Source organism: Homo sapiens, chromosome 21 (genome assembly GCF_000001405.40).
Source record: "Homo sapiens chromosome 21, GRCh38.p14 Primary Assembly".
Taxonomy (NCBI): domain Eukaryota; kingdom Metazoa; phylum Chordata; class Mammalia; order Primates; family Hominidae; genus Homo; species Homo sapiens.
Genome location: NC_000021.9, coordinates 38,678,607 through 38,699,509, shown reverse-complemented (window position 1 = coordinate 38,699,509; position 20,903 = coordinate 38,678,607). Strand labels below are relative to the sequence as shown.

Sequence of the window (20,903 nt, the reverse complement as noted above, 5' to 3'; positions counted from 1 at the left end):
CCAAGTGACAGCAATGGCCTTGTGCTTGCAGCTGAGTTCCTTGTGGGATCGCTGTGGATCCTGCTGCATAGGCTCACCTGCCCTCCCCAAGGTGGTGATGCAGGCTTCCCTGCTGCTGCTCAGCTCCAGCCCATGGTTGTGCAAATTCTACTCTCCCAGACTTTCCTGGTGGTGGTCCCAGCACCTTTCCAGGAGGTCCCCTGAGCAGGCTTTAAGATCCACTGTCTCTCTCCTACGTGCCCACACCTGGTCCCTGGACAGCACCACCTCTTGGTGGAAGTGGACATCACACCCACTGTGTCCAGTGCTCCTCTCTTTGTTCTGCTGCCGCAAGCCCACAGCCCACAGCTCCTCATCAATGGGTTCTTTGCTCAGGTGGCAAACATAGTCCACCAGGCCTCCCAAAATCCAGGGCACATGGAGCAAGGTCACAATCAACCCTATAGAAGTCAGTCTCTTGGCTTGAGATGAAGGGGGGCACACACTTCCACCCACCCACTTCCCTCACCCACCCCCAGAAGGTGTCTCATAGTTTTCTCTAAAGAAATCCTTTTCACTAACCCTCTGCTTCTCAAGCCTGACCTCTTTATGCCCTTGATGTGGGTGAATTATCTAACTAGTTCTTTCTCTAAAGAAATCCTTTTCACTAACCCTCTGCTTCTCAAGCCTGACCTCTGTATGCCCTTGATGTGGGCGAATTATCTAACTAGTTCTTTATCACCTACTTTAAATGTTTGCATTACGGTCTGTTTTACAATTCACTTGTAGTCTAAAATCTATCACTTTCTTGATGCCCCAGAGAAAGCTTCTCATGTAATATCTTGTTCCATAGGATGGCAAAACTTTGACAACGCACCCCAGGGAGATGGTGTCACGTGCAGAATCGGGCACAGGAAAGTGTCAGGGATATCATGGTCCTAGGTGGATGACCACGCCATAAGATTCCCTTGGCTCACTCCAGTGGCTCTGGTTTCAAGATGGCTAACCTGCCTTTTCATGATAATTTGTCTTTTGGTGTATTTGTGCCTTCAGAGAGGGGGCAGTGGTAATCAGCTACCACATGGTTATATTTCTTGTTGTAAGTTAATTCATCAATATCATGCTAGGTTTGTAGGCTGACAAACCACTGGAAAGAGCTGGAAACGGAAGTTCCATGCCTTCGGAGGGGCTGCCTCCCAGCAGGAGGCTCCCTCCCTCTCCACCTGCAGCCATCCAGCCTCTAGTTTTACAACCTTGCCTCATCCTTTTCTGTTCATTTCTTGGGGTGTATTTCCTTCTCCTTTCCCTCAAAGCAGTCCTCGTTCACTAACAGTTTTATCATGTCTATGACTAAATTATAAGTGACTCAGTGACATACTGGGAGTTTTGTCAGATTCCATGAAGTTCTAGAACTGCCCAGAACTTGTACTGTGACTTTATCAACACCTGGTGAAAAGAATCAAATTGAATGTTTCCTACAGCTCTGAGAACAGGAATTACAGTACTCAGAGATATTCTTGGATGGTCAGGAAAACTAGAATGCAGTAGAGGACTTGGTTTAACAGATCTTTACAGCTGATATCTTCTCAACATCCTCTTTACCATAGAGGATCCGCCATCTTGGAGCCTATCTGAAGACTAGTCAGTGAGGTGCCAAAGAAGGGGGTGTCTTCACAGTGAGGCTCTGGAGTAGCTGGAGGGGCAGAGTGGAGTGCTGAAAAGAAAACAACCACTGAAAACATGTATTGAGCACGTATATTGCACCTGGCATGGTCTAAGCACCAACCATGAACTCTCTCACTCAAATGCTCATTAAGAACCTACCACAGATGGTGGGCTGGCAACCATCTTTCCCTGAGTCATACAGCTCTTAGTGGTGGGGCTGGATATGAACCAGGCGGTCCTACTCCTGAATGCACATTCAGAATCACTCTGTTTTTCCCCAGGGGCTTTTCAGCCTGGGAGGCAGCACTAGATGTCCTGGTCCTGCTACCTACTGTCTCTAGGGGTTTGGAGCAAGTTCTTTGATACAGCTGAATCTCAGTGATATGGTTTGGCTGTGTCCTCACCCAAATCTCATCTTGAACTGTAGCTCCCATAATCCTCATGTGTTGTGGGAGGGACACAGTGGGAGATAATTGAATCATGGGGGTGGAGCTTTCCCGTGCTGTTCTCCTGATAGTGAATAAGTCTCACAAGATCTGTTGATTTTATAAAGGGGAATTTCCCTGCACAAGCTCTCTTCTTTTGTCTGCCGCCATGTGAGATGTGTCTTTTACCTTCTACCATGATTGTGAGGCCTCCCCAGTCATGTGGAACTGCGAGTCCATTAAACCTCTTTCTTTTGTAAATTGCTCAGTCTTGGGTATGTCTTTATCAGCAGCATAAAAATGGACTAATACACTCAGTTTCTAAATTGAAGTCAGCATCTTAATACTTAGTGGGCTGTGAAGGTGAAGAGAGAGGATAGGATGTGGAGGACTGGCTTGTGCAGGGTGCCACTCTCCTTCCTCTCTGGAACACCTCTCCTCCCCTCTGCCCCACCACAGGCACAGATACTGTCTGGTATATTTTGGTAAAAGATAAAAGCCATACATGAATGAAGGTGGTGGTGGTAGGGTGTGTTTTCAGGAGGTGAGCATGATGTGGGGCTGAACCTTCCAGAAAAGGAGCAGCCATATGAAGAAGCCCTTTGTTGTGATGCCGGGGAAAGCCAGAAGGGGAGCTGTGTGTCCTTGGCTGGATGGCCCAGGTCTTGCTGCAGGGCTCGCTGCACTTCCCCCCACCCTTCACACCTACTACATCACGTTCATCTTTCATTTGCTGCCTCCCTGTTCACTGATGTCTACATGCTTTCCCCTTAAAAATAGCTTTCTATTGATTGTTCTTTTCTAGAAAATAATTTATGTTCACTGGGGAAATTTTAGAAAGCATAGGCAAGCAAAAGCAAAAAATTTAGAAGTCACCTACACATTAACCTTTTGTTTACCCATTATTTCTCATTCCTCCGATTGGAAGATGATTTTTTATTCTTTTATTGGTTACTATTTTGCTAAACATAGATCTAATTTCCTAGCCCCTTTCACGCTGGCAATGCAGGTGATTCATACTGGTCTTCACCCAGATCCTCCCAGCGAGGGCACAGCTGGATGCCCAGATGCATTCAACTGCACCTTGGGTGAAATGAAATTGGTTGCTTTGTTTATTCTGAAGCCATCTTCTGGAGTCCCCATGTGGCTCTACGACAGTCAGACCTGGGGAGACCACTGCTCTTCACTCTTCACACTTCTGTAATGATCAATGCACAGTCCCATCGATGCCACCTCCCGTGCATCTCTTCCTTCCTCCTCAGCTCTGCCATGTCCTAAGCAGGCACCATCACATCTATCAAGACAGTTGCAGAAGTTCCCCCAACTGCTCCCCTTGCTTCTTTCTCTTTCTCTCTCTACGCTTGAGCCTCTGATCCTTCCAGAATGCAAATCTGATCAGGTCACCCCTCATGTCAAAAAGAAAAAAAAAAAGCCACCTACAGTGCCCCTTTGCTTATAGAATGAAGTTCAGTGTCATGGTCTTGCCTCCCCAGACTTCACAACCTTGAGTCCCTCCTCTTGGGCCTACTTGTCAGCTGAAGCCACAGCTGCACTGAATAGCTTTCTCTGACCTTGGTGTGTCTGGTCTGCTCCCTTTGCTGAGAAAATCACCACTCCACCCACTCCATTCTTTATCAACACCCCAGGAAGAAGCCTCCTATTAAGCCAGAGCTTTGCCAAGAGGTTCTGAGCATTGACTGACAGCAGCTCCAGCTTCAGAGGTGGACCGAGCTTCCCAAATGACACTTTCCATGTGATCGAGACAGGTGGGCTAGACTGACAAGTGGTGGCAGAGGTAGCCCCAAGGGAGGGTGAACAGCTGTGCTCTCATTAGGGTGATGGCATGGGGGAATACAGCACTCTCTACCTTTGGTTACCAGTGAACAAAAATCTCCCCTGTCATACTCAATTCTCGTAAATAAGTGGCTTGCCAGAGGCGCACTGTAGTTAAACCAAGAGCCATCCTTTATAAAGATGCTAACTGGCATTTTGCAAGGCACCAGGGGTCTCTGAGGCTCATCTATGATCCTCTGTGGGGTACTCCAGGCTGTTTTAATTGCATTTGCCAAGAGGTCCAGCATCTACGATGGTCTGCCTTGTAAACCACACACACAAGTGCATGCACACGTGCACACACACACACACGAAAGGAGAACAATTTTGTAAATGCATTTCTGTGGAATTTTCACAAAACTACAGTGTCAGTGTTTTGTCTAATTTGGATTGTTCACTGTACTTCCTGGTTTAAAATTATGGGGAGTACATGGAAACGCAGTCTGTCTGTTTTTCCCAAAACTTGACTTTCCAAATGTTTAATGCTTAACTTTGCCAAATCCCTTGCACACCCAGAATTTATTTCCAGAACTGTGGAAGGATTTCTCTATTTTTCCCCTATTTGTCTGGGCATGGAAACCTAGCAAGTGGACCAGTGGATCTTGTTCATCCCAAGGAGAAAACTTTCTGTGTGAGCCACCACTGAGTGCCTGTCCAGAGACGCGTTTGAATAAATCAGGCCATTAACTTGTTGTTCATCGTCATTGACTCCCGAGAAACACCCATGATAGACATTGTGTGCTCCAAACAGAAGCAGGCAATAGCATGTTTGATCAAGAGATGTCAAAACTTTTTTTTATTTAGATGCTCCTTTACCAGCAGAATGTTGAATTAGATATATATTTTTTAAATTATGCTGAGCACAGAAAGAGGCATCTTTTCATGCTCATTTGTGATGGATTAGTTTGAGCAAATTCTGAGCTACCTGTGATTCTAGAAACTTTCCTCTTCTCCAAAGGAGTTTGGGAAATGCCTGAAGTTGTGCAGCCCACTCCACTGTGCCCATTCTAGATCATTAATACTTTCATTCACTCAACATTTATTTGACACAGTCTGTGCATAGGGCCTAGGCTTGTTGCTAAGGAAAAGAAGATGAACAGGGCAAAATCAAATGGAAACCCAGAGGAAACAGGATGGGTGCTTTTGAAGGCTGGACGATTTCGTAGAGAAGGTGACTTTTAAGTTGGATCTTGAAGGAGAAAGAGAGGCACAGCAGTGCCTGGAGTAGAGGCAGGTTGTTTGTTGGTTGCAGAGATATTTCACCCAGCTCTTTAAAGAGAAGAGCCATAATGGAGAACATTTCTCAAGTGGATAAAAGAGAATGACACAAGAGAAATACTTCGTACACTTCCCATATCATTTTTTAGAGAGTCAGTAAATATTAAAAACACATATTGAGTTTAACAGTACTGTGAGTCTTCACTTCTTAAGTCACATCCATTGCCCATTGTTACTGTTTTTCTTTAAAGATAACATATATGGTATTTGTTAATTAATATTATTTAGACAGGATATGTTCTATTTTATTTTTATTTTTCTCTCCAAACATTTTTTACCTATGAATTTTTAAGGGAATGGATATTTAACAGTGATGAATGAAAAAGTAAAAATGTGTCTTTATAGTGACCATGAAACCAATACGTATAGTTAGTTGTACTTTGGGTAGGGATTGCAAAACATTCTGGGGATGTCATTTGCCCTCTTGTGTTGGAGTAGCCCTAAGACATGTAGTTGGAGCAAGCTGCTGAGACTTGGGGAATGCTTGTTACCTGCCATGTCTTAGCTTTAGCTGATTAATACAATGAGGTGGAAGACTTAGCTGAAGAGATCACAAGAGGCCAAGTGATTCTATTCTAGGCATAATAGGTAGCCACTACAGGATTCTGAGCAGAGGAGGCACTTTTTTCTACTTACATTTTGAGAGGCTCACTCTGGCAGCTCTGTGGAGAACTGATTAAAGAGGAACAAGAACAGGGAATCAGACACGAGTAAGGAGGCTCTTTCAGTGGTCCAGATGGGAGGTGAGGTGCTGAGCCGGAGTCAGATTCAGGATGTGCCAGGCAAAGGTAGCAGGATTTGCTGACAGATTGCATCTGGAGCATGAGAGAAAGATAAGAACCAAGGACAATTCCTAGGTTTTGGCACCAAGCAGTGGAGCAAGTGATGTCATTTATGGAGATGAAGAGGATGGATGGATCATAGGCCAATTTAGGGGACAAGTCCATCAAGAGCATTGTTTTGGTTGTTAAGTGAGAAATGCCTCTCTTACATTGGGTTTCCTAGAAGAAGAGCCTGATATGGGGATTTTTGTGCAAGTAATTTATTGAGGGCAGTCTCTGAGGAGTGATGAGAGATGTGAAATAGGGCTGAGAATAAGCTGGGCAAAGACGTGGTTCCAGCTGAGGTCTCACTTCAGCCTACTCACACATGGACACTCGGGGCACTGTGGAGTTGTCCCTCCTTAGTGCATGGAAGCTGGGCTTTTGGGTTCCTGTATCAGTCAGTCATTGGGTAGGACACCTGCTCACCCCTTCGAGGGAATAATCTCCTAAACATTTCTGGTGAGTGGTCTTTTATCAGTAAAGGCATCTTTACTTTGATGTTGCTGGAAAAACCATGCAAGAGGGAAGAGATGAAATGCAGGTGGTTATAGGATAGAGTCAGAGAGAGAGGGAAAGGCTAGCTCATAAATGGCTTTGAATGCAATGTCAAAAAGCTGGGATTTTAGGCAATGGGACCAAATACCTGAAGAGTTTTTTTTTTTTTTTTCCTTTCTTTTTTTTGATATGGAGTCTTGCTCTGTCTCCCAGGCTGGAGTTCATGATCTCGGCTCACTGCAAGCTCTGCCTCCCAGGCTCATGCCATTCTCCTGCCTCAGCCTCCTGAGTAGCTGGGACTACAGGCGCCCGCCACCACACCCAGCTAATTTTTTGTATTTTTAGTAGAGATGGGGTTTCACCATGTTAGTCAGGATGGTCTTGATCTCCTGACCTCGTGATCCACCCACCTCGGCCTCCCAAAGTGCTGGGACCACAGGCATGAGCCACCACGCCCGGCCGAAGAGTTTTAAGAAGAGAACAAGTGTGGTAAGATCTGTATCTCTTTCTGGAAATATTTTATACCCTTGTATGTAGACTTGTGTGCCTATACTGTATGCTCTCTCTCTTTCTTTTTTTTTTTTATTTAATAGAGACAGGGTTTCACCATGTTGACCAGGCTGGTCTTGAACTCCTGACCTCAGGTGATCCGCCCACCTTGGCCTCCTGAAGTGCTGGGATAACGGACATGAGCCACCGCACCTGGCCTGCTCTTTTTGAATCTATGGGAAATCATTACAAGGATGTGTCTTTATCACTGAAGTTCCATTGCATTTTCCTGCAGCTTAGAAAAGATTTCACCTTTCCAAGTCTCCAGCCAGTTTGGATGTTCACTTTCAATTTCTTTCAACATTTTTAAAGCTAATGATGCTGGAAAATAATGCAGAAATCATTAAATTATTAACTTAGAAAGTTCTTAAAAAACGTATCCCCTGAGTTTAAAAAATCTTATCAGCATTTTCTTCCTGATGTATCTCAGGAAATTTTTCTTTGCAAAGTGGGATAAACATTGTTGTCAGATAGTCCTGTGAGTTAAACATGTACAATTTTACCCAGCTTTTGGCCAGCTGAGTTCAAAACAAGGACCATAATTTCCTGGAAACATCTGGTTCTCTAACCACCCTCTGGCATGATCTTGGTAATTCTTAACTGTTATTTTGTGCCATTTCATCAGCCTTTATTTAGTTTACATTATTCATTCATCTTGGAAAGGAGTCCTTAATGCTTATCAGAACCCACTTCTTCCTAGCCTCCTTCCTTTTAAAAACAGTGTAGCTAACTCTTATTTTTGTCCTAAGAAAGCAACAAAAATGTTTAATACTTAAGCTCTCAGGCCATGCTGACTTGGTATAGAAGGGGTTTCTTCAATATATGTTTATTGTCTGAGGAAGCATTACAGTTTCAATCATATTGGCTTTCTGATTGCTGGTGGGAATGTAAATCTTCACAACTGCCTTGAAAAGCTACTTGGCAGAACCGACTAAACCTGACAATCCACAAACCCTATGACTACCTGGCAATTCCATTTGTAGGTGCCAAACACAAATACATACATATGTTCACAAACAGACAAGTACAAGAATGTTTATAGTAGAACTATTTCTTTTTTTTTAATTTTATTATTATTATACTTTAAGTTTTAGGGTACATGTGCACAACGTGCAGGTTAGTTACATATGTATACATGTGCCATGTTGGTGTGCTGCACCCATTAACTCGTCATTTAGAATTAGGTATATCTCCTAATGCTATCCCTCCCCCCTCCCCCCACCCCACAACAGTCCCCGGTGTGTGATGTTCCCCTTCCTGTGTCCATGTGTTCTCATTGTTCAATTCCCACCTATGAGTGAGAACATGTGGTGTTTGTTTTTTTGTCCTTGCGATAGTTTGCTGAGAATGAGGAAACTATCCAAATGCATAACAACAGTGGAATGGGTAAATTGATTGTGGTATAACCACACAATGGAATACTATTCAGCAATAAGAATGAATAAACTACAACTGCATGCAACTATATGATTAAATGTCTTAAACATGATATTGAGCAAAAGAAGCTAGACATGAAAATGTATATACTACATGATTCCATGTATATAAAGTTCAAAAATAGGCAAAAATGGAATTAGAAATCAGGCTGGTGGTTACCCCAGGGGAATGTTAGTGACTGGAAGGATCTCAATGGTTTGTAGATGACAGTCATATTCCATTTTTTTTAAAATTATTTTATTTATTTTATTTTTACTTTTACTTTAGATTCAGTGGGTACATGTACTTGTTTGTTGCTTGGGTATTACATGTCTAATGATGGAGATTGAGATTCTATTCTACCCATTATCCAAATATTGAACATTGTACTCAATAGGTAATTTCTCAACCCTCACTCCCCTCCTACGCTCCCCCATTTTGCAATTCTCAGTGTCTATTATCCCCATCTTTATGTCCATGTATACTCATGTTTAGCTCCCATTTATAAGTGAGAAGTCATGTTTCATTTCTTGATCTGGGTGGTGGTTCCTCAGATGCTTCAACTCTATAAAAGTTTTTCAAGTTATACAGTTTTGATTTGTTTATTTTTCTATATATATGTTATACTTCAATTTAAAGGTTAAAAAAATCCAGAAAGCATAAAAAGAAATAAAACATCAGAAATAATTCTAAACATGTCAATAAAAGTAAATGAGATAAATTTATCCATAAAAGGAAAACACTCTTTAGAAAAACACAACAGATAATCATGTTTGTAGTCAGATAAAGTTGTACTTTCCTAGTGTCTTCATATCAACCCAAAGGGTATGAGATTTCACAGACCCAATTAAATTTACCTCACTCATTTAGGAGGGGAGAGAGAAGGATAAACAAAGAGAAAGAGAGACAGAGAGAGAAAGGGAGAAAGAAAGAAGGAAAGAAAGAAGGGAGGGAGGAAGAGAGGGAAGAAGGAAGGAAGGAAGGAAGGCAGGAAGGAAGGAGGAAGGAAGGAAGGAAGGGAGGGAGGGAGGGAAGGAAGGAGGGAAAGAAAGAGGAGACAGAGAGAGAAATAATTATTTCTTGAAGGACTTGAATTTCAGAGTTTACTATCGTTTGGTTTAGGAACAAAGCATAAACTATCCCATTCCCTTTTCCTCTTTGAAGTTGCTTTTTAAAAGCATAACAGAGAAGTGGTTCCATAACCTTTGAACATTGATCAGCTTTTGTCTCTTGCATGATGTCTTACAGACCTTCCCAGTTTCCATCAGTTGCCATCCTTTCCTTGACTTGCAGCATGCCAGGTTCACTCCTCACACCTGGCAGTTAACCAAGAATGCCCCCTCATATCCTTGCTTTGTGTCTGTACATCCCATTTGGCATCAGGAACTTCTGTCAGCTCAGCTCCCACACAAGAGGCAAAATCCTGGAGGCCAGAGTTACGGCTTCTTCATCTGTGTTTCTCTGGACCCCAGAGCCAAGTTCTTAATGAATGCATGATAAATGGCTATTGTGGATTTTCCTGGTTTATTTTTGAATGATATTCCCTGGGCATCTCCTGCATTGTGGATGATATTCTGTTGAATAGATCCCACCTCTTGGAAGCATCTTTCTGAAACAGAGTCTGTGCAGCCCGAATGCACAACACTTAAGAATTCCATCCACTGCACAAACATGGCAGTCACAGTTTTGGGGTTGGTTTTCTATTTGCATTTTCCAGAATTGTTCATTTTATTAACTTGAGACCTTAACACCAGGGAGAACTGTAGTTGTTGCTTAGACACCCTCAGCCCTCCTTATGCAAGACAGCTTTTCCTCAATCCCAGTTAGAGGGGTTGGATTTGATAAGGATTTATGCCCTTAATGGTCTTCCTTACAGAGGAGGAGAAGAGTACCGGGTCGGTTTTCTTTTTAACCATCAAACTCTCAATTACTCATGGCAAGAACGGCATGTTCTCAACTTCCACCCAAATTAGACCATCTCACTTTTTCTTGTTTCTTATTTTGGGCTTCATTTTCCTCCTACAACCCAGTTTTTCTGAATAATAGTACTTATAAGCCTACAGTGTGATACACAATTTGGCATTTTAATCTCATGGTTATTTAGTTCTCTGAAAGCTGAATAAAATTGAATTATTTTCTGATTTAGAAAAAGTATTTTTCTTTTTTTTTTCAATAGTGATACCTGATTTGACAGTCTTCCTTGCGACTGTCAGAGAGTACAGAGTTCACATTTGGCATGAGCATGCTTCATCCAGAGGAAAGAACTTTCCAGATGGTTTGCAAGGCTGAAGGGCAATATTTGGGAGACCAGGAAAAATTCTGAGCATATAATTGATTGGAAATGCCTGTTCAGTTCTTTTCACAAAATCCTCTTTTCCTTCTACCTTTGTCCTCTCCTGTGTTATCTGAAGCTTCTCTTCATGGGGCCTAGACCCCTACATCTTTTGGAGGTAATTTCAAGCAGTCTTTTGTGCTGGGGCACAGTATTCCTAAGACAGTTAGTTCATTAGATAGAATCATGAAACTGCCATGTTTGTAGGTTAAAAATGGTTAAATAGCAGCCATTTCATATGGCTCAACCTAAACATTGGTTCCTGTAATTGTATTCATCCATTCATCAAGTATTTGTTCAACACATATCATATGCTGAATACTGTGCGGGGCTGTGAGGACACAACAGGGAACACAAAACAGCCGTTGCCCTCCAGGAGTCTAACAGGGAGCAGCTGTACAAACGCAATTACATTGGAGTGTGCAAAAATAGCGCTGCGATATGGCATGACAGCTCATGGTGGGGCCACTTAAGCCAACAGTGGGGGATGGTTAGGGGAAACCCTGGCAGAGTGAGTGGGAGTTGGCCAACTGAAATGGGGGACAAGAGTTGTAAGAATAACACTCCAACCTGGAATGTTCCAACACCTGGGAAGGTAGAAAGAATCAGAACCTACTTGGCTATGGTAGAAACAGAGAGCAAAGATGGGGGCATTGGGGGACTCTAGAACTGGGAAGATGAGCGGGGCTTCCACACCAAGCTATGTTTTTGGAAATTACTCTCAGGGCAACAGGGAGGAGGGTTTTAAACCTAAGAGTGGTTAATGGTTAATGCCACTCCATGTATAATTTGAGGGATGAAAAAAGGGGCAAGGGGGAGGACCACCATGATGAAGCCTTGGGTTTACTCTTCCTTTGTTCTGCAGATGGTTTGTTTGTTCTACAGGAAGGGGGTTGCTGATATGGTGTGGCTGTGTCCCCACCCAAATCTCATCTTGGATTGTAGCTCCCATAATCCCCATGTGTCATGGGAGGGACCCGGTGGGAGGTAATTGAATCATGGAGGCAGGTTTTCCTGTGCTGTTCTCATGATAGTGAAGAAGTCTCATGAGATCTGATGGTTTTATAAAGAGCAGTTCCCCAGCACACACTCTCTTGCCTGCTGCCATGTAAGACATGACTTTGCTCCTACTTCACCTTCCACCATGATTGTGAGGCCTCCCCAGCCATGTGGAATTGTGAGTCCATTAAACCTCTTTCCTTTATAAATTACCCAGTCCTGGATACGTCCTTATAGCAGTGTGAGAACGGACTAACACAGTTGCTTTCTTCATTTTTGGTATGAAAACAGAAACAAAATTGGAGAAAATCTGATTATGTTCACCAGACAATTCAAGAAGAGAGTCGTTTTAGGGCCATGGCAGGTGAAAAAGGCAGAATGGACCCAGCACTTCAAGTGGACTAGCCCATTGCCTGTGCAGAGGCTGAAACTCTAGACCAGCCAGGGTGGCAGGAGGAAGGACCTCAGATGAGCAGTGCTGCCTCTTAGAGAAGTCATTGTCTTGGGCTTGGAAGGCACACAAAAGTACTGAGACACAGGCCAGCACCCACAGGGCAGAGTCCTTTTTAACTACTTAAAGGAGCCATAGGAGCACATACTTTTACGAGAAATGCAAATGGGAAACAACTATATATAGATGCAGCACACACCTTATTTTGGAAAGTTATTCCAATCTTTTGGAGGCAAAAGAGACCAGAACATAGGCAGAGAGCCCTGTTTAAACACAGCCTCAGCATTGCTTTCATTTATAATTTAATATTTAAATCCAAATCTCTAAAGCACATAAATTTATCTAATCTTGCACAGTGTTTTGGCTATGACCCCAGCCCCCTGTTATTTTTCCAAGCTGGTCTAAATTTTCCAGGTTGTTGGAAATGCTGGTGATTCTGTGGCCTTCAAGAACATCTTACATTAAAGCCAGTCACACTGAGTTACGGTTTTTCCATCAACTAAACCTTTTACCAAATTGCCCATGGCTGAAACTATTTTCTGATAGATAAATATTTTCAAAGTTCCACTGTCAAGCCCAGTTTAGAAATGTCAAATTTGTCATGACTCTACCCACCAGTGTCTTTTCCTCTACTTTTGCCACTTTTCATTTTCAGAGCAAGAAATCTGGGGAGGAAAAGTGGAGATCCACCGATTAAAATGATATTAAAGGAGAAAGAAACAATGACCTCTTTGATAATTTACAATTATCCAAAAAATAAATACCCTTTTTTTTTCAAGGGACAGGGTCTCTCCCCTTGTTGCCTAGGCTGGACTGCAGTGGTGCAATCATAGTTCACTGCAGCCTCAAACTCCTGGGCTCAAATGATCCTCCCGCCTCAGCCTCCCAAGTAGTAAGGACTACAGACACACACCACAATGCCTGGCTAATTTTAAAATATTCTGTAGAGATGAGGTCTTGCTATGTTGGTCTCACACTCCTGGCCTCAAGCGATCCTCCTGCCTCAGCCTCTGAAAGTTCTGGGATTACAAGTGTGAGTCGTAGTACCTGGCCTCGGAGAATAAATATCTTGATACTTTTTCATTTTACAATCATCCTCACTTTTCTGTTCAAATCCAGCTCAGGTACTTGTGGCTGTTATGACATGCCATGAACAACACACAGAAGCAAGAGGTATTGTTTAAATTCTGCAGATAAGGGAGGAGTACTCTGAAGAGTTTGAGGATATTACTTTTCTGAAAATTGAAAGATATTCATCTGTTTGGAAAAGCTTAAAGAAGGAACGGGAAAAGGGAGCTGCTACAGGCCAGATTATGTCAAAACCAAGGTAGCTGGGGACAGTGGCAAACGTGTGTAATCCTAACTACTCAGGAGGCTGAGGTGGGAGGATCACTTGAAGCCAGGAATTTGAGACCAACCTGGGCAATGTAGTGAGACCCCATCTCTAAAAAGAATGTGAAGTTGTGCACAAATGAAAACCAACTTGTTCTTATGGTGGGAAGTGCCACATTCTATTTTCTTCTGTCTTTCCATTTTATTTGTCTGACTTCTCCCTGAGCATGGTGGCTCCTTGCTCACCACTGTTATCCCTGCCTCTGGGAGCACACCTGGCCTTCGGTCACTCCAGTGGATAAGTATTAAGTCAAGGAACAATCGCGTGAATGAATGAATAGTGAAAGTGATCCAGGAGGGTGCTTTTGTCACATATCTGTTATGGACTTGGGGAGCCACACCCCAAGTTCTCATCCTAGGCAGTTTAGTACTCTGGTAGCAATAATGTTGAATACTATTAAGTTTTTTGGTTAGTCTAAGGAAGTCAGGAGTGAGCATGGGGGCTGCATTCAACAGCCAAAGTTCACGTTTCTCCAAAATTCTTATGCTGAAGCCCTAACCCTTAGCGTGGTGGTACTTGGAGATGGGGCCTCTAAGGAAGTTATTAAGGTTATTTATTTATTTATTTATTTATTTATTTATTTTGAGATGGAGTCTCATTCTGTCCCCCAGGCTGGAGTGCAGTGGCACGATCTTGGCTCACTGAAACCTCTGCCTCTCAGGTTCAAGTGATTCTTGTTCCTTAGCCTCCTGAGTAGCTGGGGTTACAGGCACGCGCCTCCATGCCCAGCTAATTTTTGTATTTTTAGTAGAGATGGGGTTTCAGCATGTTGGCCAGGCTGGTCTCAAACTCCTGACCTCAAGTGATTCTCCCGCCTCAGCCTCCCAAAGTGCTGGGATTACAGGCATGAGCCACCGCGCCCAGCCAAAAGTCATTAAGGTTAGATGAGGTGATAAGGGTAGAGTTCTGATCTGATAAAGGATATGTGGCCTTTAAAAAAGAGATACTAGGGCTCACTGTCCCCCCTCCCCACCATCTTTCTGCCAAGTGAGAACACAGCCAGAGAGCCCTGGCTGGGAACCCAACCCTGCCGGAAACTTAATCTTGGACTTCCAGCCTTCAGAACTGTGAGAAGATAAATGTCTGTTGTTTAAGCTGCCTAGTCTGTGGTGCTTTCAATGGCCACCCATGTGGACTAAGACATAACTTGGTGTTCAGCTGGAACGTGGGATCCAGAGTCAGTTACCGTGGCCCCGTCAGCTGCCTAGGCAGCCATGGTGAGAACTCTTCAGTTCATTTTATCCCTAAACCATGAGAAACTCCTCTTCACTGCAGCACTGCTGCTCCAGGTGGGAGGGTGGTGTTGCCAGGGACGTAGCTCCAACCTCTACCCCTAATGAGGTCAGATTCAGGACCAGGGAACTCAGGATGTTTTCTTGGCAAAACAACAACAACAAAAACAACAGCAAACAAAAAAAATCCCTATGATGTAATTCATGAAAACCAAAATTCCCTTCTCGTCCTTTGAATTAGAGCAATACCATTCCGCACAGCCCTTCTGGGGTGGCTGCACCCCAAGTTCACATCCTGATAGCGACAACAAGGAACGTTACTTAATCTTTTTAAATTAGTCTACAGAAGTCAGGGATGAGGGTGTGGGCTTTATTCTAGAGCCAAGGTGACAGGAACGATGACTACGGTCTTCGGATAAGAAGATCTTACCCCATGGCCAGCTCTGATTTATTTTGCCAGTCCATATGTTCCCTTTTTACAAAAGCCCCCCTTGATCTTTTTCTCCTTCTTTGGTAGAGAGGCTCTGTGACCCATGGTGACCTGTCTCATTCTCATTTGAGGAGTGCTGCTGGCTGAGATGACCCACACCGCCTGGAAGACTGGGGCATTGTTGGATTCCCACATGTCAATCAGCTTCCTGCCATCCCTTGCTTTTGTTCCTGTCTCTGCAGCCTAGCTTTTTGTGGTCCAGGGTTTTTGTGGTCCTTGCCTCATGGAGGTCAGAGCTTTAAAACCAGCTCTGCTTCAGCTCAGCTCCCAGCTTGTGTAAGGGGCAGAAGAGAGGACAGGCAGGCCCCAGGAGTAGCTTGATGCTGTGCAGGCTGGGAGAGGGAGGACAAAGCAACATCTGAAGGGTCTGGGCTGCTCTTGAACCTGTGACCTAGTGAAGAAAGTTGCTATCCAATTACAGCATCATCTAGAGGAGCTGGCATGAGCACACCGCTGAGCTGCGAGGCTGCCCACAAGCAATGCCAAGGTTTGCTGAGGACTCTGCTGTGCAGGGTCCCCCTGCAGCTGGAAGAGCTTGCTCCCTTCGAAGCATACCTGCCCCAGAGAGTCACCAAACTTCTTTCAGGTGCAAGGATAGCTGCCACCCTGTCTCACCACTCACCTCCATCCACAATCTGCACCAAGAGTTGCAGATCCTGGTACCATGGAGCAAGTTATTCAGCCAACAGCCCTGGTCCTGAAAGATTTTGCAATCCAAGGTGGAGATGAAGCAATGGTCTTGTGCTTGCCGGGTCTAAACTCAATCAGGCAGTGAATCTTTGTTTAGTCTTGGTACTTGATCCTTGGGAAAAACATCCCATGTAGACGTCTTCATTTTTCAAATACGGGTAAGCATAGGAGAATGATGAAAACATTAATTAGTACCTTGATTTGCAGTGACTGGGACAATGCCAATTTTGGCATCCACATTACATTTTTTAATGCTATTAGAGTTAAAATTCTCTGAAAAATGAGTTTCACAAAACTTCCTACCTCCTCTGAAAGGTGAACACCCTCTGATGTATACTCACTCAGGGTGCATATACCCCATTGTATTGGTCCGTTTCACACTGTTATAAAGAAATACCACAGACTGGATAATTTATAAAAGAAAGAGGTTTCATTGACTCACAGTTCTGCATGGCTGGGGAGGCCTCAGAAAAGCTACAATCATGGCGGAAGGCAAAGGGGAAGCAGGCACTTTCTTCATAAGCCGGCAGGGAAGAGAAGTGCAAGCACAGGAAAAACTGCTGCTTTTAAACTATCAGAGCTCAGGAGACTCTCTCACTCTCGCAAGAACAGCATGGGGGAAATCACCCCCATAGTCCCATCAGCTCCCCCTGGGTCCCTCCCGTGACACATGGGGATTACAATTTGAGATGAGATTTGGGTGGGGACACAGAGCCAAACCATATCACCAATTGTTGATTAATTAATTACTCGGATGAAAAATATGTCACCAGTAACAGAGTTCCTGGCATCCAAACCTGTACCATGATTTCATGCCTAAAATATTTTCGTAGTTGTTTTCCTTCATTTGGAGGATTGGATTTACCTGAAACACATAGTAGAGGGGAACTTCATGTTCAAGAAATGTTTTTGCAGTACAGAAATCCCATCATCCCAGGGGTTTTCAGCACTTGGCCAATGTTTAGGGAGGATTTACTGAGTACTGCCCAGTGCTCTACTAAGATGGCAAATAAGCAAGGTGATATTGAGCATGAAATGGCCAAAGAGGAATGCAAGGGTTGCTGCTTAAGGGAGGGAGGAGGAGGGAGAGAGGGGATGGAGAATGTTTAGTAGGAAGCATCATGGTGTTGATGTTTTTGCTCAATAGGAAAGCTGTTCTTAGCTCCTCTCAATGTAAAAAATTACCCTGACCACCACCAGAAGTTTTGGTTCTCACCACCACCCCACTGGCTAGAGGAAGCAAAGCAATCTTGATCCTAAAAAAGGCACTGATAAAGGGAAGCAAAGACTTGGAAAGCTCCTGTTGGAAAGATTGTGGTGGAGCCTCCCTATCTGGCATGCAGTTATTATCTGGTACAGTGGATTAGGATCAAGGCCTCTTGTGGAAATCAGTAGAGAAGGATTCAAGGCTGTGTTGGGAGAGCTGAGTAGTATGGATGGAAAGGGATAAATTAGGGCCTTCAAGGAAGAAACAGGCATAGTGTGCAGATGATGGCTCACCAGGAACAAACAGGGACAAAGCTCAGCAAACCTAAGGCATTGGCAAAATCCAACCACCATGTTTTTCAGTGGCCTATGAACTAAGAATGGTTTTACACATTTAAATGGTTGGAAAAGAATCATATTAGGAATATTTCAGTTTTACACTTTTAAATGGTTGGAAAATAATCAGATGCAGAATATTTTGTGACATATGAAAAATACATAGAAGTCAAATTTCAGTGTCCACAAATAAAGTTTACTGGAACACAGCCACGATCATTCATGCATGTGTTGCCTAAGGCTGCTTTCATGTTACAACGGCAGAGTTCAGAAGTTTCGGAGAGGCTGAATGTACTGCAAACCCTCAAATATCTACTGTCTGGCCCTTTCCTAGAGGTTTATTAGTCCGTTCTTGCACTGCTATAAAGAAATACCTGAGACCTGGGAATTTATAAAGAAAAGAGGTTTAATTGGCTCATGGTTCGGCAGGCTGTACAGAAAGCATGGTTCCAGCATCTGCTTGGCTTCTGGGGAGGCCTCAGGAAACTAACAATCATGGCAGAAGGTGAAGGGGAAACAGGCTTGTCTTACACGGCAGGAGCAGGATCGAGAGAAGGGGGGAGGTGCTACACACTTTTAAGCAATCAGATCCTATGAGAATGCAATCATGAGAATAGCACCAAAGGGGAAAATCTGCCCCCATGATCCAATGACCTCTCACCAGGTCTCACCTCCAACATTGAGAATTGCAATTCAACAAGATTTCGGCAGAGACACAGATTCAAACCATATCAAGAGGTTGGCAGACTCCTGCTTTAAACCATTGATGAGAAGAGCTGCAGACATCTCAACATATTATAAAATGGTGAAACAATTCATTTTATCATATGTTGTGTATATTAAATTATAAATAGCCCTCTGAGTGTTGTCTGTGATCTGTCTGAACTCTAGTGTTAGAAGCATCTGAGATGTTGTTAGGAAGAGCACCTAGACCAGAAGTTCTCTCAAAAATGGTGCCTCCAGCGGGCAGGTCCAGGGAGCAGCATCCTGTTCAGAATTTATGTTGGGTTTTCTCTCTCTGGGTGGGCTACATCTACACGGGGGATATGAGTGGAAGGCAGACTAGAGGTGTTAGGTAGATATTTAATACTATGAAAGCCTGATATGTGATAAAGTCACGATGCAATAAAAGAAACTCTTTTGTTGTTATGGGCCAATTGTGTCTCCCCCAGCAATCCCCACTTCAAATTCACATGTTGAAGTCCTAATCTCCATTGCCTCAGAATGTGACCCAATTTGGAGATAGGGTCTTTACAGAGGCAGTTAAGCTAAAATGAGGTCATCAGAGTGGGCACTAGTCCAATATGACTGGTGTCCTTAAAGGAAGAGAAAATTTGGACACAGAGACAGTCATAGGAGGAAGATGCCACGTGGAGACACAGAGAGAAAATGAACATCTACAGCCAAGGAGAGAGGTCTGGAGCAGCATCTATCTTCACAGTTCTTAGAAGAAACCAAGTCTGCCCACAACTTGATCTCGGACTTCCAGCCTCCAGAACTGTGAGAACATAAATTTCTGTTGTTTTAAGCTGCCCAGTCTGTGGTCCTTTGAAATGGATGCCCAAGCTGTTACTCTCCTTCATTCAATGCTGGAGTGAGATTGTACTTAATCTCCAAGCATTTCTTAGTAAATCATTTCACATTCCTTGTCTAATTATTCACAGATTTTGTATAAATGATACCACCATATTCGAATGGAAAGAAATAGCAGTGATAAAGAAGAGAAAGATTTTTGAAAAATCACCCTGGCTGGTTGCTGGAATATTTTGAGTAATTTACTACAGACACTGTGAAAGTTGGGCAGCTCTTTTGCTTTATAAATTAGTTTCTTCCATATGGAATGGGAACTTCCATAGAAGTGACCCTAAAAACATTATTCTTGTTCTTTGTGACAAGTTTTCCAAAAGAAGCTACAGAGATTATCATTATCTGGGGGAATTTATTTAATGGTTTCCTCCTCACTGGCTCAAGTCTTCCCATTTTTGTCTCCACCTCCACCTAACTTATTAGGCACTTGTTAAATAAAACACACGCCCAGGGTTGGATTTATGATTTTTATATGGACTGTTAAAAATAGCTCAACTGTGGGCAGAAGAATGACCACAGGAAGTGATTCACTTCCTCTGGTTAGCTTCTCTTACACCCACTGACCGCTGAGAAACAGCAATAATAGAAAAAGTTATACTTGGGAGTCCTGGTAGGACATCACTAGAGCAGACCTTGTCAATCAGGTCATCTAACAACCATACCGGGCAAGCAAAGACTTAGCAAAGTCATGGCTCAAGGTCATCCACTGAGGGTCTAGCCCGTCTCTTGGTTTCTATTTCTGCCAGTGTTTAACCCAAATGAAGATGTGTCTCTGCTGGTCACAAAGGGTATGCATTTTTGAATTCTGGGGTCATACCTAAGGTTCATTTTATAAGCACAATTCTTTAGTCTGACATTTATATGGACAGTTAATAAAAATGGACTCTAACTACAAGAGAGACACTTTCCTCAATTCTTCTTTTGGGGAGATATTAGGGGTTGTTGTTGGTGGCATAGATTCCCACTGGTGGTTCTTTGTATGCTCGGTCCAATTTCAGTAGCCCCTTCACAGTTGTTTAACTGTTTTACCTGGTCTTGGTCATAGACTATGCTTCCTTCCGTTAGATGGTAGTATGCCCAGACAAGAACAACTATGATGATCTTGAGCTTTGCCTCATGTTTTCTCCAATGTGATCTCATTAATGTGTACCAGCTCTGGAAGGTCTTTGGTGCCCTTCACTCAATATGATATCTGGGAGATGGAACAGCATTCAAAGTCCCACAGGCTGGCTGTGACCCTTCCCTGGGTACCTCCACACCCCAGCCTGGGAAATGGGGGAATACAATTTTACCCAGAATTTTAAAAGTAGAAATTCCTGCATGGTTGATGTGGGCCCTTGGAAGCCCTCCACTTCTCCCCTCCCCTCCCCTCCCCCTCCCCCTCCCCTCCCCTCCCCCTCCCCATCCCCTCCCCCTCCCCTCTCCTCCCCATTCCCCTCCCTTCCCCCTCCCCTGCCCTCCCCCTCCCCTCCCCCTCCCCTCCCCCTCCCCTTCCCCTCCCCTTCCCTTTCCTTTGTAAATGTTCTAGTGAATCTTCAAACCTTGAGTAAGAACCTGTTTGTGGGAAAGGCTTGGAATGTCAACCCAAGGGCTGGTACTTGGGGTGTCAAATTTTCCCCATTGTCACAAAGGCTACTCCACGCCAGGCATCTTACCTGCTATCACCTCTGATCTTCGGAAACCCTATGAGGAAGATATTGCTAGCTCCATTTTACAAATGAGG

At 43.7% G+C, this 20,903-nt stretch overlaps 2 annotated features.

Moving 5' to 3' along the window:
- Positions 14,772 to 15,971: an enhancer, noted in NCBI's record as "BRD4-independent group 4 enhancer chr21:40055463-40056662 (GRCh37/hg19 assembly coordinates)". NCBI's record gives its function as "activates an origin of replication core promoter dependent on BRD2, P300/CBP, MED14 and CDK7 cofactors, and independent of BRD4, by STARR-seq in HCT116 cells {active_cell/tissue: HCT116}" and the evidence as "EXISTENCE:reporter gene assay evidence [ECO:0000049][PMID:35650434]".
- Positions 18,893 to 20,092: an enhancer, noted in NCBI's record as "P300/CBP strongly-dependent group 1 enhancer chr21:40051342-40052541 (GRCh37/hg19 assembly coordinates)". NCBI's record gives its function as "activates an origin of replication core promoter dependent on BRD2, BRD4, P300/CBP, MED14 and CDK7 cofactors, with strong dependence on P300/CBP, by STARR-seq in HCT116 cells {active_cell/tissue: HCT116}" and the evidence as "EXISTENCE:reporter gene assay evidence [ECO:0000049][PMID:35650434]".